The 24,768-nt window shown below is 53.8% G+C and overlaps 1 protein-coding gene across 5 annotated transcripts in view, besides 4 other annotated features; it reads left to right on the top strand.

Annotated features, from left to right (window-relative positions):
* Positions 1-24,768, top strand: part of SDK2 (sidekick cell adhesion molecule 2) — a 310,062-nt gene that overhangs the window by 49,518 nt on the left and 235,776 nt on the right. The gene's annotated exons all lie outside the window — the stretch shown is intronic.
* Positions 4,519-5,023: an enhancer, noted in NCBI's record as "NANOG-H3K4me1 hESC enhancer chr17:71586044-71586548 (GRCh37/hg19 assembly coordinates)". NCBI's record gives its function as "activates a minimal SCP1, AML or CMV promoter by ChIP-STARR-seq in naive H9 embryonic stem cells {active_cell/tissue: H9 hESC(naive)}" and the evidence as "EXISTENCE:reporter gene assay evidence [ECO:0000049][PMID:30033119]".
* Positions 5,024-5,527: an enhancer, noted in NCBI's record as "NANOG-H3K4me1 hESC enhancer chr17:71585540-71586043 (GRCh37/hg19 assembly coordinates)". NCBI's record gives its function as "activates a minimal SCP1, AML or CMV promoter by ChIP-STARR-seq in naive H9 embryonic stem cells {active_cell/tissue: H9 hESC(naive)}" and the evidence as "EXISTENCE:reporter gene assay evidence [ECO:0000049][PMID:30033119]".
* Positions 5,528-6,032: an enhancer, noted in NCBI's record as "H3K4me1 hESC enhancer chr17:71585035-71585539 (GRCh37/hg19 assembly coordinates)". NCBI's record gives its function as "activates a minimal SCP1, AML or CMV promoter by ChIP-STARR-seq in naive H9 embryonic stem cells {active_cell/tissue: H9 hESC(naive)}" and the evidence as "EXISTENCE:reporter gene assay evidence [ECO:0000049][PMID:30033119]".
* Positions 6,033-6,536: an enhancer, noted in NCBI's record as "H3K4me1 hESC enhancer chr17:71584531-71585034 (GRCh37/hg19 assembly coordinates)". NCBI's record gives its function as "activates a minimal SCP1, AML or CMV promoter by ChIP-STARR-seq in naive H9 embryonic stem cells {active_cell/tissue: H9 hESC(naive)}" and the evidence as "EXISTENCE:reporter gene assay evidence [ECO:0000049][PMID:30033119]".

Genomic DNA, 24,768 nt, shown 5'->3' with positions numbered 1-24,768 from the left:
TGTGCAGGTGTGTGCTGTGTGTATTTGTATATGTGCAGGTGTGTGCTATGTATGTGCTGTGTGTATTTGCATGTGTGCATGTGTGTGCTATGTGTGCATTTGTATGTGTGTCTGTGTGCTGTGTGTATTTGTGTGTGGATATGTGCTGTATATTTGTGTGTGTGCATATGTGCTAAGTGTATTTGTGTGCATCTGTGCTGCATGTATTTGTATTTGTGCATGTATTTGTGTGCATATGTGTGCTATGTATTACATGTATGTGTGCATATGTGTGCTATGGGTGTATTTCTGTGTGTTCTGTGTGTATTTGTATGTGTTGTGTGTGTGTGTGTTCATTGTCCCATCATGAGGCAGGCAGGGAGTCTTGCAGGAGCAAGCACATTGCTGGGACTCCAGCTTGCTTCTGTGATATCTAATATATTCTCTCTCTCTCTCTCCCCCTCCCTCTCTTCCCATCTCCTCATCCCCACCACCAACACTTTCCAGGGGAGCAACCAAGTTCTTGCCTCTAGGGTCTTAGGGAGCAGCACTGGGGGAGGGAAGGGCATCTTTATACTCAGGAGAAGGGCTTGAGACCATCTGATCTGGAGCAGTCTGAGGACATGAGACTCAGGCCCTCAGCTGCTGCCCGGGGGAAGGCCAGCACCCCAGCCTGAGGGGGTCAAGGGTCGAGGGAGCTGTCCAGTGGCTGACCTTCCCCTACAGCCCACGAATCCCCATCAATGCCGCCTTCCCGCTGTCCAACACTCAGCCTCAGAGGCTGGCCAGAGTGAACCACCTGCTGGCTCCCAGACGTTGGGAGGCCTGACATGACCAGGTTTGGGGAAACAGTTTTTGAGTTGGAAACGATATTAGATAAAGCTGGATTGGAATTCCAGACATATTTATTGCTGTGGGTTGTGGGGCCATTTTCTTAACCTCCAAGCCTCTGTTTTCCCTTCTGTTACATGGGGAGGTTGAAACCTACCTTGTAAATTCCCTGTGGGGATTAAAGGAGATAATGCAACCAAATTGTCCAACACAGACTCGGCCACATGGCCAGTGCTCAAAGAAGGACGGACAGTGAGATATGGCCAAGGAGGGTAAGTGAGGAGCCAGGGACAAAAGAAGAAGAGGGCTGAGGAAGCAGGGTCCCCTCAGCCCTGCCGCCCAGGCCCCTGTGTTATTTAATAGCCACTTTCAGCTGGTGTCTCCTGGAAGCCTTCTGCCTAATCCAGTTAACACCTTCCGTGATCCGATTACTGCATGTCAGAAACCCCAAATCTGATCAGTAAACATGTGAGTGGCACACTTTGGGGGGGCACTGCAGAGAAGGGGTTCAGCTTGAGGTACCATCTGCTCCTTCCCTGGGGGGCTCTGGCCCTTCCAAGCTAGGTGTTCTGCCTCTGGGTCTATTGTCCTGGGCCACTCCTGGTCCCTTAGAGGCAAATGTTGTCCAGGTTACCCCAGGGCCCAGAGCGCATGCCTCATGGTCTCTGGGGGAAGCCCCCCACACCCCATCTCTGTTCCTTTGGGTGGGGGTTTCCTGCACAATGAGGAGGAAGGATGCTCTTGTGGCCAGGATAGGGAGTGGGTGCTGAGGCTCCTTCATTCTCTGCTCCCCACAAACGTTTTGGGCCTCACAGTAGCCCAGCAACTTGAATTACAGAGGTGTCTGGGCCCCCAGGAGTAACTCTGGATCCAGGGATGACAGAAGGACCACAGAGCCCCACATCCACACTGAACACAGCCCCCCAGTGGCACAGACGTAGGCAGAGGGTGGGGTGGGGTACCCAGCCTGTCGAGGGAAGACCTGCAGCAGGAGCTGGGGTGGGGAGGAGGAGGAGGGACGGCATTTGCGCGGTAAGCTTAGAAACAATCCCCCCCACCCAACCCTCCCTGGGCCTCGAATGGGGAATGAGCTGGCTGGACCGGCTGAACTCCAAGTGTACGTCCCACACCACTCTGGGGTGATCCTGTGACACCGGCGAGCTACGGACACCCCCATGCGCTGCAAACACAGCATTACCGGGGTGAGCTGAGGTTAAACCCTGAAATATGCTTGGGAGACGGGCATGTGGCCAGGCCATGTGTCTGTGACTCTTTGATTCCGTAGATTCCCCAAAGCTCTTGGTGTCACGCACGGTGGTTACAATAGGCTCTCCCTGGACCTCCGTTCCTGTCCTCCTTCCGGAAATGGGGAGCCGCCAGGGTGTGCCTGACTGTTCCGTCTTCCCGTCATCTGAGCATCCTCAGCCAGCCACCAAGGTCCCTGTCCTCGCGCTTCCCCGGCCCTCTCTTCCTGTCTTCATGCCCCAGGCTTGACTCAGGGTGACAGCTCCTGGTGTGCCCCGGTTAGACTCCAGACAGTCACATTTCTGGAAGCCAGCTAACCAGGCCAGGAGGTGGTGGGGACAGATGGCTGGAGGTGCTGCCGGGGGCATGGGGAAGAAGTCGTCCCCACCTCCATGTGGTTGGCCTGCTTAAAAAATAAAAAGCTGGAGACTCTTTCCCTCCCACACTCCCTCTTTGGCTGGGTTCTGACTCCATTTTGGTCATTTTAATTTTTATTAGTCCAGTAAAATCTGCTCTTACACATTTCTGATCATACAGGTGTAACCCTGCTGGCAGGTGCAATGCAGCCACACGGAGCCAGCCTCTAATTTCGGCATGATGGGGGCCGAGAGGCCTAGATCTTTCCAAGAAGTGTACAGTGCCAGGCCCACGGAGGCATGGCTGTGGCCTGCAGCCCATGATGCTTTCTTCCAGTTGTGGATTTACCTTCCTTTTTCTGTGGTGCAAGGGCTACTGGTAGACAGGCTGCAGTTCCCTGCATTCATCGTTATTGACAGATGAAGTCCGGAAGCCTGGGATCAGCATGAGGTTTTTAAGCTGAAGGGGACCGCAGAGATCAACTCCCCCCTCATGTGGGTGAGAAACTGCAAGGTGCATTCATAGCACGTACCCCACGTCCCCAGAGAGGCTGGGTGTGCTCTTGGCAGCCTTTTATCTCTCCTCGAGTCTCCGCTGCACTCCAGACCTGGCCACTCTTACCGTTTTAGTGCTTGATGCTCTTTGAAGATGAGGAGGCTTCCTGACAGCCGCGTGATGGCTGCCCTCTGGTATTGCCCCACCCCACAGATAAGCATCTCCGCAAAGCTCAGTCATGTGCCTGCATGAGTAGGGGGTGCTGGATGGGGACCAGGTCTCCTTGTGTCCTCTCATACCTTTCGCCATGCCATGTCCTAGTTCTTGTAAACCTGCATCTCCAAGTAGATAGGGTGCCAGATAAGAGACAGGATACCCAAGTAAATTTGGACCTCAGATAAACATTGCTTCATCTTTGAGCACCAGCATTCCCCAATTTGCGAGAGTATTCTACACGTCCTACAGGTTTGCACTGTTGCAAACCCCAACTCTAACAGCCTTGGGTCTGAAGGGAAGTTCAAGTGTAACCGAACATCCTGTGTTTGTGTTTTTGCTAAATCTGGCAACCCCACTGTGGCGTCCCGGAAGAGTGTGCTGGTGGCCGGGGGAGCAGAGAGCTCAGGGCAGGTGTTGTGCTGAAACCCTGTTAACCTCAATAGGGAAGGCACCAGGTTCGAGAAGCTGAAGAAGAGACCCGGCGCCAGCAAAGGAGACATAGGGTTTTATTAGGGGCTTACATCCAGGGGAGGGTCCAGTGGCAGCTGTCTGGACAGGAGAAATGCCTTACATATAGAAACAGTTAAGACCGGGTGCGGTGGCTCACACCTGTAATCCAAACTTTGGGAGGCCAAGGCAGGTGGATCACCAGAGGTCAGGAGTTTGAGACCAGCCTGGCCAACATGGCGAAACCCTGTCTCTACTAAAAGTACAAAAATTAGCCAGGTGTAGTGGCAGGCGCCTGTAGTCCCAGCTACTCAGGAGGCTGAGGCAGGAGAATCACTTGAACCTGGGAGGTGGAGGTTGCAGTGAGCCGAGATCATGCAACTGCACCCCAGCCTGGGCAACAAGAGCGAAACTCTGTCCCAAAAATAAATAAATAAACATAAACAAATAAATAGTTCAATGACAGCTAGCTGGATAAGATGTCCGCCTTCCTACAGTCCGGTGGTGGCAGTCTGGGCAGGAAAACAGCAACCATTTGGAAAGGGCATACCAGTTTACATAGCATGGCCACTTAACACTCTACCCTTAACAACCTCTACCTGGCAACCTTCAGTTAACCCAAAACTCAGGGCCTCAATTCCATGCACAGCCCATGTTCTGGATGGGCCCAGGGCTCGGATGTTTCTCATAGACAAGGAGTGACTCTCCGGGTTGGCCATGCCCAGATTCCCCACCTCAGAACACACAATCAGGTGCGTCTGCCACCCAGGGTCATTCTCAGGGTGTGTTGAAGACTTAGAGTCACTAACCTGTATTTTCCCCAGGTGTGCCCTGTTAAAGACTACTTAGGCCAGGGTCTGAAGGAGCAGCCCAGAGCCAGACGGGGCAGAGCAATGGTGTTGCACAGCAGGTGGTGCGGGTCTTGGCAACGAGCAAAGTCAGCTTCAAGTTGCTGCTGTGCTTCTTGTGGGACCTTTGAGCTTTCCAGCATCATCTCCGACAGGGGAAGCGAATGCCGGGGAAGGAGGTGCTGGTTGCCAGGTCCTGTCAAGTCTCATGTGTTCCTGGTACTCCTCTGCATTAGCACATGCCTGGATTACAGTAACAGATTCCGAACTGACCCCTCTGGTCCAGCCGTACCTTTCCATCCACCCTGCAGACAGCCGTCCAATTCTCGTCTTGCTAAATGTCTTCTTTCGTCAATTGCCTCCCCCTTCTCAAAGGCCCTCATCGGCTCCCTGTTTCCTGATGAGCCCAGACTTCGATTCCGTGTGGGTTTAAGAGGCAGCATGTAAGAGTCTGTAACTGGCTGTATCCTTTCTGGCCACCTGAATGGCCCAGGCCCTCTGGCCGTGGGAAGGAGGCCACATTCTAGAGAGGAGTGGACACATTGGAAGAGATTCCTGCCTGACAGCTGCTTGCTTTCTCTTTAAGGCGCTCCCCTTTTCAGTCCCTTCTCTGTTCACCTGATTACAGCAAGGACAAAGGCGTAATTAGGTGCTAATGGCACTCAGCACCTCTGTAACACCTGCTAATCCGCAGTGGCTCTGCGGGGCTGCTCAAAACCAAATGTGCGGCTTGCCTCCTGCTGCCTGGGGATGAGGCTTATTGCTCTCTTGTCTGCCTTGTCCGATTTCACACCCCACTTTGGGTTCCAGCCTGTGGTGACCAGATCAGCATTATCCTTGGTCAGGGCCAGCTGATGCTGACATAGGACAGAGTGACGCAGAGTGCCTGTCTGAGCTTCCCCTTTTATCCTGCCTAAGGCTGCGGAGCCAGTAGCAATGTCCCCATTTTGCAGATTGGGAAATGGAGGCTTGTGGAGTAAGCAGCTTGGCCAAGCTTCACGCTGCTGGAAGTGGTGGAGCAGAATTCAGAGCCACATCTGTCCAACTCCAAGGCCACGTCCCTTGCCTGTGGTTTTCCGGCCTCTTTTCCCAGCTCTGCAAATCTGCCCCACACCTCAATACCCAGCTCCCCAACAGGGTCACCCTCATTCCCATTCTATTTTTCTGAATGCTTTGAGCACCTACAACTCTGCACCTTGGGAGGGACTAGAAGAGACATCTCCTTGCCCTTCAGGGTTGTGTGTTTGTGTGTGCACCTGCACTCACGTGCATTCATCACTGTGAGCTGGAGCGTGAATTTCTTGCATCCTGGGACTACTCCAGCACACAGTAGAATAATTGGCTTAGGGAGGAGCATACAGTAGCCACTGACTAGACTGAGTGAGTCAGGGACTGTGATGCCTGCAGTTTGTCTTTCTTGCTCGAACAGATCATTTAGTAAGAACCAAGCCTCTCTCCATGCAAGGTCAAGTACGTGGCATCACAGGGAGGACCCCGGCTCTGGCTTCACTTGCTCTGGGGCCCTAACCCTGCCCTGGTGCTCACCAGCTGTGAGATCACGGATTAGTGGCTTCTCTGTGCTTCAGGCATCTGGCGCCTTCTGTAAAGTGAGCCATCAGGAATGAAGTGCGTATGGCACCTGCGCCACGTAGAGGAGTGTGCCCCACGCCTGTCCGGTTGTCACCCAGAGCTGCTGTGCTTGTGCATTGGCCCTGGAACTGTGCCGCCCCGGCCCTAGGCACAGCGAGACTTCCCAGTCTCCGCACTACTGACACTTTGGGCCAGATTGTTCTTAGAGGGGAGGCTGTCCTGAGCACCGCAGGAGGCTGTCCTGAGCACTGCGGGGTATTTCATAGGATCCCTGGCCTCTACCCACTAGATGCCAGTTGTGACGACCAAAAATGCTTCCAGATGTCCCCTGGGGGGCAAAGTTGAGTTGGCCCTGATGAGAACCAGCAGCCTAGAGCACTGGTTCTCAAACTTCACTGTGCATCAGAATCACCTGGGATACTTGCTCAGTCACAAACTGCCAAGCTCCACACCCAGAATTTCTGATTCATCAGGCCTGAGACAAGGCCCAGAATTTGCATTTCTTTCTTTTTTTTTTTTTTTTTTTTTTTTTGAGATGGAGTTTCGCCCTTGTTGCCCAGGCTGGTGTGCAAAGGCGCGATCTCGGCTCACCGCAACCTCCACCTCCCGGATTCAAATGATTCTTCTGCCTCCCCCTCCCGAGTAGCTGAGATTATAGGCATGCAGCCCCAGGCCCAGCTAAGTTTGTATTTTTAGTAGAGATGGCGGGGGAGGGGGGGGGGTCTCTCCATGTTGGTCAGGCTGGTCTCGAACTCCTGACCCCAGGTGATCCACCAGGCTCGGCCTCCCAAAGTGCTGGGATTACAGGCGTGAGCCACCGCGCCAGGCCAGAATTTGCATTTCTTACAAGCTTCCAGGTGCTGCTGTTTCAGCTGTTCCTGGGACTCCCTCCTCCCCTCACTTTGAAAACCACTGGACTAGAGTCTTATGAACATGGTGGGCTTTAGAGATGGTGAAGTGAGTGGCTAATGGGATGCCAAGAGCAGATAACAGGACAGGGAGTTTCTTAGAGAGATGCCTCCCTGAGGGTGTGAAGAATTGTAAACAGACTTCAAGATTTTACAGAAAAACAAAAACAGACTCACAAAGCAATGAGAAGACTTTAAAAGCACCTGTGTGGTTAGGAAAGGAGAAGCCAGTTCAGGGAAATGTAATGAGCCAGATCCAGAGAAGCGGGCCTGAGGGTTTGATGGGCACAAAGAGGGCTGTTTGCCAGAGCGCTGGGTCTCAGATAGGAAGGTGATTGTCCCCCGGGGCTGGAAGAGTCAGGAGAGGCTGCGGAGCTCGGCTCTGAATGGGCAAAGCAGCTCCAGAAGTGGCCTCAGAGTCCCGTCTCATTTATGAATGAGCCTGCACCAGGATGACATGAGTCACGCCCCAGTAACACAGATAACGTGCAGAGATGGCCCGAGCCACCCTGCGGCCAAAGGGAAATTGCTGGAGACTGTCAGCTGCTAAGTAGGGTGGTGATGCTGGAGTGACCCAGGGACAGAGGCGTGCCAGAGGGCGCCCCAGTTGGTATTGGCTCAAAGTTACTTGGCAGCTGGAGCAAGGCTGGCAGTTGTGTCCTCTGTCCAGGCTCTGCCCTGGCCCGTCCAGGCTCCTGGCTCCACCTCGGGCCAGTGGCTTATGGACATGTACTTGGGGTGGGCATTTGACAGGCCAGAAGGAGGGGGCAGCTGAGCTGATTTTGCCTAGGGGACCTAGCCTGGGGACCTCAGGCTCTAGAGCCTGGAGATGGAATTCCAAGGGCATGGAATTTGAGTTGAAGCCTATGGCCCAGACTGCCGATTTGTAGCTGGGTGGATAGTCTTGGGCAGGTCACTTAGTGGAATATCTCTACCCTGTGCAGCAGCCACAGGCCAGGCACCATACCGAGCCCTTTACATATGACAGTTAATCCCATTCGCACTTCAAAGCTGCAAGAGGCATTCTCTTTCCCCTTGGACAGATGAGGAAACTGAGGGTCAGAGTGGCAGCTAGAAAGCAGCAGAGGAGGAATTCCATTCAGATCTGACTCTAAAGAACATGTTAGACTTAGTTTTTCCATCTCTAAAATGGGGCTCATATTCCCAACCTATTCCTCCTCATAGAGCTTGCATGAGAATCGGATGAGATAAAATCTCTGAAAGCCTTTAGAATGCCAACGATTATAATCATGCAACGAAACTGCTGGACCTTCAGGCTTAAAGAGTCACACATGCTTTGCCTGCAGACGTCATGGGAGGTGGTTGAGTCAACCCAGCTGGTCGACCAGGGGTCTGGTTCTGGGACTCAAGTTTGGGTGGCCCCCAACACAAGACCACCCACCCACCCCCTGCAGTCCACCGAAGCATCAGAAATTAAATTTCACGGCTGGGTGCACAGAGATACCAACTTGAGCTCCATATGTTTATGGCTCGAGGAGGAGATAAGATTTGATTAAGAAGACCGCTATTAATTTATGGCGAGTACACTGGCGCGAAGGGAGAGGCTGCTTTTAATTAATAGCCAGAAGGAATTTACGCTCTTGGTCTCAGCGAGGGGGAGAGGGGCGGAAGGAGGAGGGAAGTGGAGCCAAGTGAGCGACATGGATGAATTGATCCAGCCACACACACCCCTTCCTTTTGAAGAGAATATAAATAAATAAAGAGCAACAGGAGGGAGGGAGGCAGTGCCATCCAGGAGAATGGCAGGAGGGCAGGGAGAGCTAGCCAGCAGGAGAGGCATGGTGGGGAGAAGGAGGAAGAGGAGGAGAGCTAACACCTTATCCAGTGCTTGCTATATGCCAGGCCTTATGCACAACCCTTTGTAGGGATCACCTCCATTAGCCCTACAATAGCCCATGAGGCTGGTAGAACATTTTTGGAAGAATAACACAAGCATGCAGTAAGAATGCATACATCCCCAAAGGATCTTCACTTCCCACTGAAGTTCCAACTGTCCGTTTCTTGTCCCTTTCCGAGTACATCCTATATATATATTTCCTAGGACACACATATGTATGGATGCGCTTGGTGTGCCGTTTAATGACATTCAATTCTGTATGTCTTTCCAGTCTTTATGTTAGAGACGTGGAAATTGGAGCTCAGAGGGGTCTAGTTACTTTCCCAGGGTCACACAGGAAGTGGAAAAGCTCATTTTCAAATCACAGTGCTGGCTCCTAAGTCCCTTCTGGTCACTACCACCCTCTGTTGGCTCACACAGAGAGCTGCATTCACAGTGTGGGGTTGGGGGCTCCCCCTGGACTCAAAGGTGTGTGGCTTCTGAGTGTAGGGGGTAGTCAGGCCTGAGGGAGGATGGTGGGTGGTGAGGACAGGAACACCACAGGGTTTTAGCCAGTATTTCCCCGCCTGGCCATGGAGATGGGGGATTTTTGCCAAAAGGAACCCAAGAGACTTGCTAGTTAGTAGGTGCTATTCAGAGTGTGGCCCACAGACCCGCAGCACCTACTCAGGACCAACCCGAACAGAGTATCTGGGGAAGGCTCAGGAGTCTATGTTTTAACACCCCCTCCGGGGGATTCCTGCTCACAAGAGAGAGTAAAACTGAGGCCCAGAAAGAGCTCCTGTGTTATCCGTGGCACACCACTCCATGGCAGAGAAAAGCCTGGCCTTGCACAGGCTCCAGACTTCTCATCGCCCTAGACTCTGCCACCCACTACGAGAAGCGCATGGCATAGGGGAAACAGAGTGCATTCTGAGACAGTTCTGGGTTCAAATCCCAGCTCTGCCTCCAGCTGTGTGGCCCTGGGCAAGTTACTTAACTTCTCTGAGCTTCAATTCCTCACATCCCCAACAGGATCAGCACCACTTTCCCCGCTGGGTGTCTGAGCAGCCTCAGTGAGGCTGGGCACTGTTGTGTGTGCTGGGCACTGCCCCCTGACTTCCCCATGGCAGAGAGCAGGACCAAGCCCTGAGCAGTGTGTGGACCCTACTCTGCCCCCAGCCTTTAATCTTCCACTGGAGACTGATTTCTAATCAGCAGCAACCACAGATGAACGGCCATCAGCATCCGTCACCTGTAACAAATCAACGGGCTTCGACCTGAGCGTCTTCCTGTTCTGAATCACTCCTCTTCTCCTGTAGAGACTCGAGGGCCAGGGATGTGGTGGCAGGAGAGGCAGGGGAACCCTGCAGGGACACAGGCAGAAGGGGGAGAAGCACAGCTGGGAGACCCCATTAAGATGCGGAGCCTGACCCTCCCATTTGACAGTTGAGGAAACTCAGGCTCAGAAGTCACTATCACCCTCTGCCCAAGCTCACTCTGTAAGTCAGTGGCAGAGCCAGGAATACAATTTCAGCCCCTGGACTCTTCATCTGGAGCTCAGGGCCTTTGATCCAGCACTGGTCCCAGAAGGTGCTCCCTGGGTACGTGCTAGGGGCTGACTCTCTCCAAAGCCTCCTACAGTCGGAGAGCAGGGCAAGGCGGAGGTGGCACAGTCCCGCCCTCGGAGCTGACTGTTTCCCTCTTTGGGGAGAAGGGAGACATCCTATACCCGGGCATCAGGGCGCTCAGGTCTGGAAAGCACTGAGAGGGTGACCCTCACCCAGCCCTTTTCTACCGACAGCAACAACCTTATTGGAAAAGCTGGTGCTAGGTGGGGCCGCCAAGGCAGCTTCCCACCCCTGTAGCACCGGCCAGCCCAGTGAGACCCTCACTCCCAGCCCCATGCTAGGGCCTGCCAGCCACTTCATCCTAGCACTGGGAGAAGGTGTGCAGAGCAGGCGAGGTCCCGGCGGCCAGGCCAACTGCCCAGCTCTCTCGGTTGGCCAGTGTGCAGGACACAGCTGGGAGGTGTTTTGCCTGCCTGGGTGCCCACTGGGCAGGGAGCTGGAGGCATGCTCTCCCCTCTCCGTCCGTACTGCTAGAGAAGGCCTTGTGAGCTTTGAGTGATGTCTTGCCAAGAGCCGACATCCCACAACCCCAAGTTTCCTCTGCTAAGGAAACCATTCCAGGTGGGCTCCGTGGCCAGGGTCCTATCATCGGAAGTCAAAATCTGCATGTCAATGGGACACTGATCCCTGGTGGATTTGACAGTTGAGGAAACTGAGGCTCAGAAGTCACTACCACCCTCTGCCCAAGCTCACTCTGTAAGTCAGTGGCAGAGCCAGGCATAAAATTTCAGCCCCTGGACCCTTCATCTGGAGCTCAGGGCCTTTGATCCTGGGGGCAGGCAGCCTGGCACTCTCCCTGCCCCCAGCCCACCACCCGTGTGCTCACCCTGAGCCTGAAGCACTCTTGGCCCTGCATCTTCCCTCCAGGCAGTGTCCATGCAAGCCCAAGTGTTCGCTGGTTTGTGAACAGGGTGAGGGCCGGGGACTGTCATCACAGCCAGGGCACACCGCACAGGGTGGCCCTTCTAACTTTTCATCCTAGTTCTTGAGGTTTGGGGGCAGTGGCTCAGTGGGTGAGAGGCGGTTGTTGAGAGCCCTCCTTTCTCTTTATTTGGTGGGGAGCTGGCCATGCCTTAGAATAGAGATGGGATGCATCACGAGATGCAGGGACTGTTCCAGAAGGGAGAATTCCACCCTCGTAGCAGACCCCCAGCAGCCCAAAGTGCTCACCCGAGTGGGAGAGAAGATGGGAGGTTAGAGTCTACAGGAGTCAGGGCTTGTTCCTGGCATTCATGCCTTCATCCATGGATATTTATTAACTGCTGTATGCTAAGAAGATAGCAGTGGGCAAGAAACCACGGTCTGCTGTCAGGGAGCATGCAGACTACAGGGAGAGACAGACATTCGATTAAAAACTTTCATTACTACAGTGATTGGTCCCATAAGGCAAGGATTCTGTGAAAATATTGAACAGGGGATCTGTGACCTAGTTGAGCGGTCCAGTAGGGCTTCCCAAAGGAGGTGACATTTCAACTGACCCCTAAAGGATGCATAGGAGTTGGTATGCAAAGAGGCAGGGGGTGAGTGTCCTGGGAGAGGAGGCGGGCTGTGTAAAGGCCCTGGGGCAGGCAGGAGGGCACTTGCCACGTTAGAGGGTTGTAAAGGAAGCTAGCGGGGAAGAATGTCTCAGCCCCAAAGAGCTCACAGAGAGGGGCGTTGCAGGGAGGCTGACGAGACGTGAGTCCTGACCACCACGCTTCTGCACACAGAAGTGAGAGTGCAATGCTGTGGGGGAGCACAGAATCTTCCAGAAGGCTTCTTGGATGGACAGATCTAGACCCTATATCTGAAGGGCTGAAGGGGGGTACCCAGGAGGAGAAGGGGTTCTGTTCCTTTCTGGGGGTGCTGGCTAAGAAGAGCAGATGAAGGCACCATTCAGGACACAGCCTCTCCCTACATCCAGGCTGCCCAGCAGGGTCAAGGGTGAACAGGCAGCGAGCAGGAGCCTTCCGGGAGCCTGGCCCCTCGGCTATCACTCTCTCTCTTTCTGACTGGCAGGCTAGCGGGGCTTCTACATTATTAATAGTGACACATAGTAAACATTTTGATAATTGTCACAGCCACAGGCTCTGAGAGTCAGCACCAGCTGTTGCCAGCATGAAAAAAAGGCAAAGTGTTCGTGCCTGCACAGTGTGTACCCCCAAAAGCTGATGCCTGCGTGGTGTGCACCCCCAAATGCTGATGCCTGCATGGTGTGCACCCCCAAATGCTGATGCCTGCGTGGTGTGCGCCCCCAAATGCTGATGCCTGCGTGGTGTGCGCCCCCAAATGCTGATGCCTGCGTGGTGTGCGCCCCCAAATGCTGATGCCTGCGTGGTGTGCGCCCCCAAATGCTGATGCCTGCGTGGTGTGTGCCCCCAAATGCTGATGCCTGCGTGGTGAGCGCCCCCAAATGCTCGGGCCTGTGCAGTGTGTACCCTACTCACTACCTTGTCTCTTCTCTTCCTGCCATAGATCAGACACTGTCCCCTGCTCAGCCCAAAGTGGGGCACCAAGTAAGATACGAGAGGGCCTCTCCACACCCTATCCCATCCCAGTCCCAAGTCTCACCCTGGGTGAGGTAGAAAGATGCAGGAGAGAGCCCAGGCTCCAGACAGAGTTCTCACAAGGGCTCCTATCCTGACCCCTGAGGGATAGTGTGGGCTGTGAGTCCCTCCTAAATAGGCCACACCACCCTCAGGTGGCTCTGCCAATGGCTGTCTGCCCCCTCCCCAAATAACACCATCCCCCACTCCTGGCCCACTCGGGGCTCATTGCCCTGGGGGTGACCTGGGCTGTCTGAAATAGGCCCTGCGTCAGGTGCAGACAGGCTGCAGAAGAGGGGCTGCCTCCCCGAGGTGTCCTTTGAGAAAAGCCCTGGGCAAGGCTGGCATTCCGAGAGTGTTGCCTCCTGCCATGGGCAAAGATGCAGGGGTGGGCAGCAGCTGGTCCAGCGAGCACCAACTGATGAATAGCTGTCAGTCCTGCAGAGAGAGGTCACAGCTCAGCGCCCACTGCTGTCAGGGCCTAAAAGCCTCTAAGCCTTGAAGGTGCGCTTATCACAGCCAAGCTGGGGCAGGCGGGGCTGGTATGTGGACCCCAGACCCAGATTCTCTGTGTGCCAGAACAAAGATGATATGTGAGAGTGGGTGCAGAGTTTCCTGTGGAAGGCCCAAGAAACTAATGAGGAAGAGACTAGCCTTAGGACCAGTTTAAGGGGAGCTGACCTGGAGCGTTTCCTACTTTGGGCATGGGACTGGCTACCTAGTTTGCAGGGCCCAGTGTAAAGTGAACTTGGGGAGTCTGTGTTTGAAAGACCAGCAAAAGTGCTGTTAAAGGTACAGATTGAGCACCCCAAATCTGAAAATCTAAAATTCAAAAAGTGCTGAGCGCAGTGGCTCACACTGGTAATCCCAGCACTTTGGGGAGGCCAAGGTGGGTGGATCACTTGAGCTCAGGAGTTGGAGACCCACCTGAGCAACATGATGAGACCCTATCTCTGAAAAAAAAAACCAAAAAATACAAAAATTAGCTGGGCATGTGGTCCCAGTGACTTGGAAGGCTGAGACACTTGAGCCCAGGAGTTCGAGGCTGCAGTGAGCAGTATTCATACCACTGCACTCCAGCCTGGATGAGAGAGCAAGACCCTGACTCAAAAATTCAAAATGCTCCAATGAGCGTTTCCTTTGAATGTCATGTCAGTGCTCACAATTTTCAGATTTTGGATTTTCCTATTTGGGATGTTCAGTGGTAAGTATATAACGCAAATATTTCAAAATCTGAAAAAAATCGCAAATCCAAAACGCTTTGGGTCCCAAGCCTTTTACATACAGGATACTCAGCCTGTACTAAAATACCAACCTTTTTCCTTCTTTGTGTAGCTCCTCCGCTTACACATATGTGCCATTGTTCCACTTCACTTACAAAGCACAAGTTCAAAGATGAAGGCATTAAGAATTTCAAGATGGCAACAGCAAAACATTAAACCAAGCACGGGTCCCTCTGAGCTTGGGGCCCTGTGTGACCACATGGATCTCATGCCCATGAAGCTGGCCCTGGGTCGGCGTGAGCCCCGGTGTTCCGGAGAAGCCAGTGCTGGTCAGGAAGGCTGTCCCTGCGAGGGGGCAACAGCCTTACTCAGGGTACAGTACAGAGCTGGGGGCCCCATGGAAAGGGGTGCTAACACCAGGGAGTGGTTATAACAGATTTTGGCCTGGAAAGCAAACCATGTCCTCAGAGCATCTGTGGGAAAAGAGGGGGCTTTGCAGCCTGGCAGAGGCTGTGTAATTACACGTTGGTATGTGCCAAGAGGGAGAGGAATGAGGCAGGCGGGAGTGTCTAACAGAAAGGAGAACCCACTGCAGGTGAGGGGGCAGGGAAGGCGTCTGTTTTCATTTGCTAGGATGGCCATAACAGAAATGAATTGTTCCGCAGTCCTGGAGGCTGGAAGTCCAAGACCAAGGTGTCTTCAGGTCGCTTTCTTCTGAGGTGTCTCTCTTTGATCATAGATGGCCATCTTCACATCATCTTCCCTCTGTGTGTCTGCATCCTAACCTCTCTTTTTTTTTTTTTTCTTTTTTCTTTTTGAGACGGGGTTTCGCTCTTGTCCCCCAGGCTGGAATGCAGTGGTGCGATCTCAGCTCACTGCCACCTCCACCTCCCAGGTCCAAGCAGTTTTTGTGCCTCAGCCTCCCTAGTAGCTGGGATTACAGGTGCCCTTCACCAACCCCCAGCTAATTTTTGTGTTTTTAGTAGAGATGGGGTTTCACCATGTTGGCCAGGCTGGTCTTGAACTCCCGACCTCAGGTGATCCACCTGCCTTGGCCTCCCAAAGTGCTGGGATTACAGGCGTGAGCCACCGCGTCCAGCCTCTAATCTCTTCTTATAAAGACATCAGTCATATTGGATTAGGGCCCATCCTACTGACCTCATTTTACCTCAGTGACCTCTGCAAAGACCCTATCTGCAAACACTGCTGCATGCTGAGGTGCAGGGGTTAGGACTTCAACATCTGGATTCTGGGGTGGGTAGGGCAATTCAGCCCATCACAGCTTCCTGAGAAGCGCTACGTGAGCTCAGTCAGTGAGGGTCGGGGAGACTCTTCAGGGAGGGGGAGCACCGTGCGAGAAGCCTGAGTAAGAGGATGCAGGGTGCTGCCAAAGGGCTGTGTGATAGGCAAGAGCATGAGGAAGATTCTGGAAAGCAGTGCCCCATAAAGTTGCAGAGGGCAGCAGAGGCCTGACCCCTCGGGCCCTGATAAGAAACATGGTCTCTATTCCCAAAGCCTGGTAGGATTTAATCTTGAGATGATCACTTGGATCTGTGACTGCGGTGATGAGAAGAGCCTGGGGAGACTGCGGAGGATGAGTGAGAGGCTCTTGAAGGGGCAGGCAGAGGTGGCAGGAGCTCAGGCCAGACGTGCAGCAATAGGGATGGAGAGATGTGGAAGAACACCAGAGGAAAGAGCTAGAACTGGCAGGGCCCAGGAGGAACCAGTGAGGATGCCGAGGGGAAGGGAGGGGTGGGGATGGCTCCTGGGTCCCTGACCCGGCCGACAAGGGGTGCCCCTTCCAGAAGGAGACCACGCTGGAGAGGAAGCCTGAGATGGTGATGTGGGGAGCTTGGTCTGGGACAGAGTGACTTTGGGGTGCCTTAGAGACACTGGGCAGAGAGAGAAGTGAGGGCTGGAGCTCAGGCAACCTGTGACAACCCAGGGATGAAGCTTCGAATGGGAAGTGGGGTCGGCCTAGACTGTGCCTCAGGTTGGGCTGGCGCGAATGGCTGGGTGGATAAGCTGAGTCCACCTTCCCTGCCTGAGGTGCTCCAGCTAACTCAGCCTCTCACACTGTTGGCCCAACCCCAATCCCTGCCCCTGACCCTTTGACCTGAGTGTCCTCTGTGCCAAGGGCTCCGGGACCTTCATGCTGTCTCCAGTAGGAGCCCCCAACCCAGGCCTGGTCTGCAGAACCATGTCCTCCCAGCTCCCCAAATAATCACACTCCTCTGTTTGCTGTGTGTCACCGAGTCATTAATTGTCACAACCCTGGGAGGTAGGGACCACTGTGGTGTGTGAGCTTCTGGGATGCTGTAACAAAATGACCCCAAATGTGGTGGCTCAAAACAATACAAATTTGTTATCTTACAGTTTGGGAGGTCAGAGGTCCAAAATGAGCCTCACTGGGCTAAAATCAAGATGTTCAAGCTGGGTGTGGTGGCTCACGCCTGTAATCCCAGCACTTTGGGAGGCCGAGGCGGGCAGATTGCCTGAAGTCAGGAGTTTGAGACCAGTCTGCCCAACATGGTGAAACCCCATCTCTACTAAAAATACACACAAAACATTAGCCAGGTATGGTGGTGTGTGCCTGTAATCCCAGCTACTCGGGAGGTTGAGGCAGGGGAATTGCTTGAACCAGGGAGGTGGATGTTGCAGTGAGCTGAGATCGCACCATTGCACTCCAGCCTGGGTGACAGAGCGAGACTCCATCTCAAAAAAAAAAAAAAAAAGATGTCCATAGGGCTCAAGACCCTGGAGGAGAACCCATCTTCTTGCCTTTTGCAGTTTTTAGAAGCTGCCTGCTCTCCTGCCACGTCGTTCTGACACTCACTCCCCTTCTGCCGTCCTCTTCTGCATTTCAGGACCCTCATGTTACACTGGTCCCACTCAGAATTCAGGATAGTCTCCCTATCTTAAATCATCTGATTAGCAACCTTAATTCCATCTTTGCCACATAACAGAACGTATTCACAGGTTCCAGGGATCAGGGCATGGACTTCTATGGAGGTGTCATTCTGCTGACCACAGACAATCATCATTGCTATTTTACACGTGAGGAAACTGGGGCATAAGAAAGTCAAGGGTTTACCTAGTGTCACCAAGCTCATAAGGGAGGAGCAGGATTCACGCCCAGGTAGAGATGGTCTCCTCCCTCCCCCACAGCACCTGCCTCTCTCAGGGAGAACTGACTCCAGCACTGGTAAAAATGAAGGACACCTTGATATCCTGGAGGAAACTGACCTGTGATATAAACAGTCCTATGCCCGCAGCCCTGAAGGGTAGAACTATTGCCCTCCACTCTCCACACCAGCTGGGGACCCTCTCTCCCCCACTGAACTTACGGCTTCTTGAGTGCAGGGACTGTCAGCTTTCTGCCTGTCTGTCTCTGGGACCCAGCCCAGTGCCTGTGATGGGGTGGATGCTTAGTATATGTTTGTTGAGTAAATAAGAAAATGAATAACTGGGATTGGTCCTGGAACTTTGGTGCCAATGGATTCCACTTAAGAGTTTTTTTGGATAAATTCCACTGAAGACTTTACAGGTCTCTTTATGGGTTCCTAAACCTCGGCTAACAGTACCTGTGGATGAAATTCCTTCACTCTTCTGTGTCCATCTCTGGACCCGGATTTCAGGTCCAAGGATCTGCTTCCAGGACAGTCATTCCAAGGCTCTTTGGGGTCTACACCTCCATATCCAGTCCGTGTCCTTTCTCTAGCCTGGACCCTCCCATAGGGGACATGCTTCCTGGAAGGGATTGCAGGTGAGGCTGCCATGGGACCTGGGAGATGGCAGCAGGGCCACTCCCACGCTCCGAAGCCTCTGCTGTTCAGAGGCCACAGTGTATCCTTGGCGATTCCCATGGCATCCTGGGGGCCTTGGTAATCAGGGCTTGTTCTCAGAATTGCACAGAATGCTTTGGACGCTAATAGGGCAGCATTAGTGGTACCCTGGGGTTGCCAGCCATAGCAGAGCAAGGTAGTTAAGGCTGAAGGTTTTATAGCAGTGGCTGTAAAAATTCACTGTCAACAATAGCTTGGCCAAGTCCTACTGGGTGAGGGAGACCTATAGGTACTGGCAACCCCCTGGCCTCTCTGGGGGAGTGTACTACACCTGTGATCACGAGGTTCCTTTTACATGCACCAATTTTGTATTTGCAGTACATTGAGTTGCATTTTCTTAGGCCATGATGTTGGACAGTGATGAGAATTTGTTCTAGCCAGCTGTGCCTTGGATGTCTCACCCTCTCTCATGGAACTCCACCTGTGTCCGGCAAGCCTGCCTGGCTCACTCTCCCTCAAAGCCCTTTCCTCTCTATCCATGCCTCTTTGCTTCTGCCATTTTACTGCTTGGAATGACATGCCCTTCATATCCTTGTGACACCCCTCCCTTCCTTGGGATGTCCTTCCCATCCTTGGGACGCCCCTCTCATCCTTGGGACGCGCTTCCCATTTTTGGGGATGCCCTTCTGATCCTTGGGACGCCTTTCCCTTCCTTGGGGACACCCTTCCCATCCTTGGCATGCTCTTTCCCATCCTTGGGATGACTTTCTCATCCTTGGGACGTTCCCTCCCCTTCTTTGGGATGCCTTTCCCTTCCTTTCCTTGGGACACCCATCCTCATGATTTCATCATCTTAACTTTCCCACACTCACCTTCCTCCCAGGCATCCCAGGCAGCCCCTTTTGCCTCGAGAATTTGGCTGCCTTTTGGTCCTGTTCAATAGGAACCTAGTTGCCCTGCCTCTGTCCTTGGTGCAAACTTCCTCATCCCACCACAGGCGTGTCTTTTGCTGAAGTCATCCCCCACGGCCCCCAGCTCAGTGCTGCATGTATTGGGCTGCAGACGGTGTGGAATTTTGGTTGACTTTGCTCTCCCTTTTTATACCTCCTCTCCCCCTTGAGACTGTGAGCCCCTCAAGAGCAGGCCCTGCCCCTTCGTGAGAATCCACAGCCCCAGCTTTTGTTCGTCTTCCTCTCCTAGCCCTAGCGCTGCTGCGTTGCCGTTGTCTGTGTATGCTCTGTCTCCCACGCTAAGCTGAGCTCCTTGAGCACAAAGATTGTCTATTCAACTTTAATTCCATAATTACAAAGACAACAATCATATCTTACTTGCCAAGTGCCAGACGCAATCCTACATGCTTTACACATATTAACTCGTTTAATCCTGATCACCACCTGGTGAGATAACTGTGATGACTGCTCTATTCTGCAGATATAGTACAGACTGGCACGGAGAGATTACGTGTTTTGCCCCCAGGTCATGGCTAGCAAGAGATAGTGCTTCAGCCCCAAATGAGTCTACCTCAGAATCCAAGCTCTCGTCCACATTGCTATGCCACTTTTCACAGCCTCACATGATGCCTGGAACTGGCAGGCGTTCTGGAAATACCTGGTGAATGAACGAGTGAAAGAATGAAGTGCTGGTTCAGAGTGGCTCCTTCTGAGAGCCCTGGAGTGATTGGGGCAGATTTGGAGTCCATGAGGGAGAACCCAGGGTTTCTTTGATTACAAGAGTTGTCACAGGATGGCCCAGGTCAAATTAGAACTCAGCAGTGGCTTTGATCTTCCCGATGCAGGTGTCATTCGCCCCATTGAGGAGCCTGGAGCCCAGGGAGCTTCAGCAGCCTGCCCAGGATCACCCCAAGGGGAAGCAGCAGAGCCAGGACTGTTTGATTCCCAGGGGATATGCCCATCTTCCAGATTCCCAAACCCAGGCAGAGCCCAGCCTCCCACTAACAGGGGCTCAAGGAAGGTTAATTGTCTGAGACTATACGAGCAGTCCTTTAGCCAACCAGTCACTGAAACCTTGAGCAGAGAGGACAGATGGCTTCCCTAAGTCCTAGGGCTGGCCTCTACTAAGGTGCAAGACTTGAACTCTTGGTCTGTTGGTATAGCCTCCAAACCCAGCACCCTCTAGGGTGTTCCACTGGGTTTCCACCAGAGACTCATACTTCTCAAGACTCAAGACTCACCCTCTTGGTTAAGTTGTACTTGGGTCATTATTACCAGGAGCATCTGATCTTCTAGCATAAGCCAGGGTGGTAGAAAGTGTCTAGAGAGGTGGAGAAGGCCAGTATGGCATTAAATGTTTAGGAAGGAAGCAAGGGCAAGGCATTTAGAGCTTGCCTTGGTTCCGAAGGGGAGGTAGAGGTGATGGTGTGCCCACAGAGGACCTTGTCTCCTGGCTGATAGCTGAGCCTGGTGGGGAGGGCTGGCCTTGAGGGAAAGATCCACCCCCATCTCCTGCACTCACACACAAGGTAGTCTCCTGAAGTTGCAGCTACTGGGAAAAAGGGAGAGAAAAAACTAATAAGGCTGATCAGCGAGGCGTGTATGTGTGCATGTGTGCTTGTGTGTGCACGTACACATGTGCATGCACGTGATGTCAGCTGTGATCAGGGTTGGATCTGATGTTCTTTTATAAACAAATTTAACCAAGGGGAACTGATCAATTAATCAACAATGGATTTAAAAGTATCCATTCATGTAACAAATACTTGTGTCACCTACCCCTAAATTAATAGATATTACATAAATATTCATGTGATAAATATTTATTGGTGTATTAGGCAATGTTCTAGGGGCTGAAGGGACAGGAGCCAAACAACACAGACAAAAGTCCTTGCCTTCATGGAGCTTCCATTCCTGAGGGTCGGGCAAACAGTGAGGAAATGCATAGATGTGGGCAGAGCTTCCATTCCTGAGGTCAGGCAGACAGTGAGGAAGCGCATAGATGTGAGCGGTAGTGTCAGGAAGGGACAGGGCCCACGAAGGCCAGGAAGAAGCCAGCAGGTCTGGGGAGTGGCACTGGAGTGGTCCTCATGGTCGGGGAGGTGACATTTGGAAGGGGGCAGAGACGGCGGAGCCCAGGGCCCCTGAGAGCAAGGCCCGGATAAAGGGCAGGGTTGGGCATGTGTGGAGAGGAGGCTGGAGCACAGGAGAGCCAGGGGCCCATCCACACAGGCCTTTGCAGGTTGCAGTCTGGACTCTGGATTTGACTGGGTGTGAGTGGCAGTCACTGGAGGCTTTGAGCCAGGTAGTGGCATGATCCAATTTATGCATTAAATCAATCCCTCTGGCTGCCATGTGGGGCTAAGGCTCAGGGAGCGGAGGGGAGCAGGCATGCCTGGGAGGAGGCTGTGGTCCAGGCCAGAGCTGGTGGTGGTGCTGCCCAGGGTGATGGCAACATGGGTGGTGAGCAGCAGTTAGATTCAAGGTGCGTTTGGCGGGTAGAGCCAGCAGGATGTGCCGAGCTGATGGACTGAATGACGACTCCAAGGTTTGGGGTCCTAGCAGCTGGGTGAAGGGTAGAGGTGACCATTCCTGAGATGGAGAAGCCTCTGGGGAACTGGGTTGGGAAGGGGGTGCAGAGTGACCTATCTACTGGCTGTGGGCCTGCTAGTGCCAGGTACCAGTGTCCTTTCCCTGGTGCAGCAGTGAGGCAGGAAGCTGATGGTTGGGTCCCCAGCCCACCACGCTGGAGCTCTGAGGCTCCTCACTCACCCTCCTTAGACTCATCATTGTCTCAACCCAAAGAGAGACCCGAGCCACCTCGTGCACCCACTTCCATTGCCCAACGACCGCCTGCTGGCCCAGAGTGTGTTCTCTGCAGAGTTTTGCTCAGACATTGGGAAGGTGTCTGGGGGTGCTGATTGTGAGGAAGTGGAGGATGGAGAGGCCCCATCCTATATGAGCAGGTCATCAGCCTCCAAGGAGGTGGTGTTGCCCCATAGTAGCAGGGCCATGGGGCAGTCACCCGTTCCTTCATGTGGCACACCTGCACTGGACACCTTGGCATGTGTTGACACTAGACACCTGTGCTCTGCTTCCTGGTCCAGGAAGAAAGAGATAAGAAGGCGCCATTACAAGTGAGCATGCTGGGTGTTTGACGGCGCTGGGAGGCTCCCCGGGAGGAAGTATCTCAGATGAAAGATAAAGGACAAGTAGATACTGACCAGATTGGGGTGGAGGAGTAGATGGAAGACACATCAGTCATGAGGGCTGAGGACACAGAAGGGGTCAATGATAGGAAGATGTTGATGCCCCTTCTCCAGCAAGCTGAGCATCATATGCTTAGACCATTCATTCATTCAGTCAGTCAGTCAATCTTTATGGACTGCCTGCTGTGTGCCTAGCACTGGGCTCATGCTGGAGATGAGACAAAAACAGACATGGTCTTCCTCCCTACAGAGCTCAGGGAATAGGAAGGCGATAAGCAAATAACTACACAAATAGAAATATCACTGGAAAATGTAGGGGTATGCTAAGAAGGTGAAGAGCTGGGTGATAAGAGGGAGGCTGGCATGAGAGGAAGGGAGGGCAGGGCTGGGGACAGGGTGCCATCAGGATGTGGGGGTGGATGGGAGCTGGCTAGGAAGAGGGGTCGGAGCGCTCCAGGCACAGAAAACAGTGCGTGGTGCAGGCCAGTGGTTACTAAACTGTGTCTGCAGACCCCAGAATTCTACAGGGATAACTGAGCCCTCACGGCAGGTAGGGGATAGGACAAAGTGGGGAGGGAGGGAAACAGCAAAACAGACAGGCTGTGGACCCCACCCTCACCCCCACTTAGATGAGGACAACCACCCTTACCTCTGTTATATCTCTTGGGACCCTCAACAGGATTTTGTGGGGACCGAATCTAAAACCATTTGGACAGCTCTGATTTGGTAGAAGACAACACCTGCACTGAATGCCGAGGTCTTGTCCGCCTGCAGTTTAGGCCCCAGAACTGTCCATCTTTCCCAGGCACATCCCCATCATAGGGAGGAGGGGAGTCTCTGTGGGCACCCGCCTGGCCCGGCATGCCCAGGGTGCTGGCCCACCCAGGGGAGCTGGCCCCGCGGGCGCTCCTCCTTCCCCGTGGGCCGTGAGGTTGGCCATGGAAAGCCCGGCATGTGTTGTCAAGGGGGCACCTGGGGCTCTGCCTGTCCTGTCCCTGGGCCCCTGCAGGCTGGGAAATGCCCAGGGAGGAGAGAGCCCCTGTGGAGGGTCAGACCCCGGTCAGAGAGGGCAGGGGAGGGCAGGGCGCTGGCCGGGCCCCAGCCGGGCTCACCTTTCCTGGAAGGCAGGCCGGGCGGGAAACGGTGTTTCCAGTAAGAAGGCGTAGCCCCCGCTGGGCACATGCCCCACACCCGAGGAGGAGAGCTCTCGGAGCTCCTCGGCCCTAATGAGTGCTGTGGAGAGCTGTTTACAGCTAAGTGAGCTGTAATGGCTTTCTGCGGTCATTAGGCACAGGCTGCTTAGAGCGCCCGGGGGGCCACCGGGCTGGACTCCCACATGTTCCCCCCAGGACCCAGATCGATGGGCTCAGGGTTGGGCCTGGGTGGGCCACCGAGCTCCCTGAGTGACCCAGAGTGTCCTGTGGGCATTGGAAAGGGCAGGGAACTTGACTATCTACTGGCTGTGGGGTTGCTAGTACTGAATATCAGTGTCTTCGCCCTGGTGCCTCAGTGAGGCAGGAAGCCGGTGGTTGGGTCCACAGCCCACCATGCCTGGGGCTCAGGGGGCTCCTCTGTCACCCTCCTTAGCCTCTTCATTGCCTTGACAGAAAGAGACCCGAGCTGGGCATGGTGGCTCACGCCTGTAATCCCAGTTACTCGGGAAGCTGAGGCTGGAGAATCGCTTGAACCTGGGAGGCGGAGATTACAGTGAGCCGAGATCGCACCACTGCACTCCTTCCAGCCTCAGTGACAGATCAAGACTCCATCTCAAAAAAAAAAAACCCGAGCCACCTCCTGCAGCCACTTCCCAGCAAACTCCTGCTGGCCCAGAGTTCGTTCTCTGGAGTTTCACCCAGGCATTGGGAAGGTCCCAGCAGCCACTCAGGACCAGACCAGGGCTCACAATAGTCACCCTTGACCCCAGGCTGTGGGCTGAGGAGGAATAGGGGAGCAGAGACCCTAAAGGGGGCACAGAGCATGTGAGGTCAGCCATGTCCCTGCAGGCCTGGGAGGAGCATTTCGGGCTAAACTCAGTTCAGTCCAGTGAGGGGCAGGAAGAACACAGGAATGGGTAGAAGAGGGCCCCTCCAAAGGGCTCCGGTGTTAGAGACTGACCTGGCTTTGATATGAGTTCTGCCACGGGCAAGGACTTGATCTTCTCTGAGCCTCAGCCTTCCCATCTGTAAAACAGAGCTAAAGCAGTGCCCTTTGTGGGTGGCTGCGAGATGGCGGTGAGCTGATGGTGGTGTTCAGTGCCTCACGGGTAGTCAGCGCTCAGTGGAAGGTGGCAACATCACCACCATCAGCCTCACCATCACCATCACCGCCATCATCACAAGAGGGGTGCTGGGTGGGTCCCCCTCTTTTTGATTTTTGGGCTAATCTAGTGGCAAATGGCAAAGCGGCACCAACTGCTCACCCAGCCAGCAGTGGGAGCCACCTCACCCACCCTCACATGCACCTGGAGGCTCTTTATTGAGCATATGCTCTGCTGCGATTTGAGAAAACAGAGCCAGGAGCTCACAGAACCTATGGGTTGTGTGGTTTCTGGACCCGGTGTAGACGGGGTCTACCACTCCTATGGGGTGGTAGGAGATGCATGTTGAGGCCGGGCTGTGCTTAGGAGGCAGGGGTGTAAACAGGGAGGGGAGGTAGCAAGGCTGGGCCCCTGGGGTGGTCGCCCTGTGTCCAC

The sequence above is a fragment of the Homo sapiens genome, chromosome 17 (genome assembly GCF_000001405.40).
Source record: "Homo sapiens chromosome 17, GRCh38.p14 Primary Assembly".
Classification (NCBI taxonomy): Eukaryota; Metazoa; Chordata; class Mammalia; order Primates; family Hominidae; genus Homo; species Homo sapiens.
The sequence above is the reverse complement of the archived record's forward strand: the minus strand, read 5'-3'. Positions and strand labels throughout refer to the sequence as shown.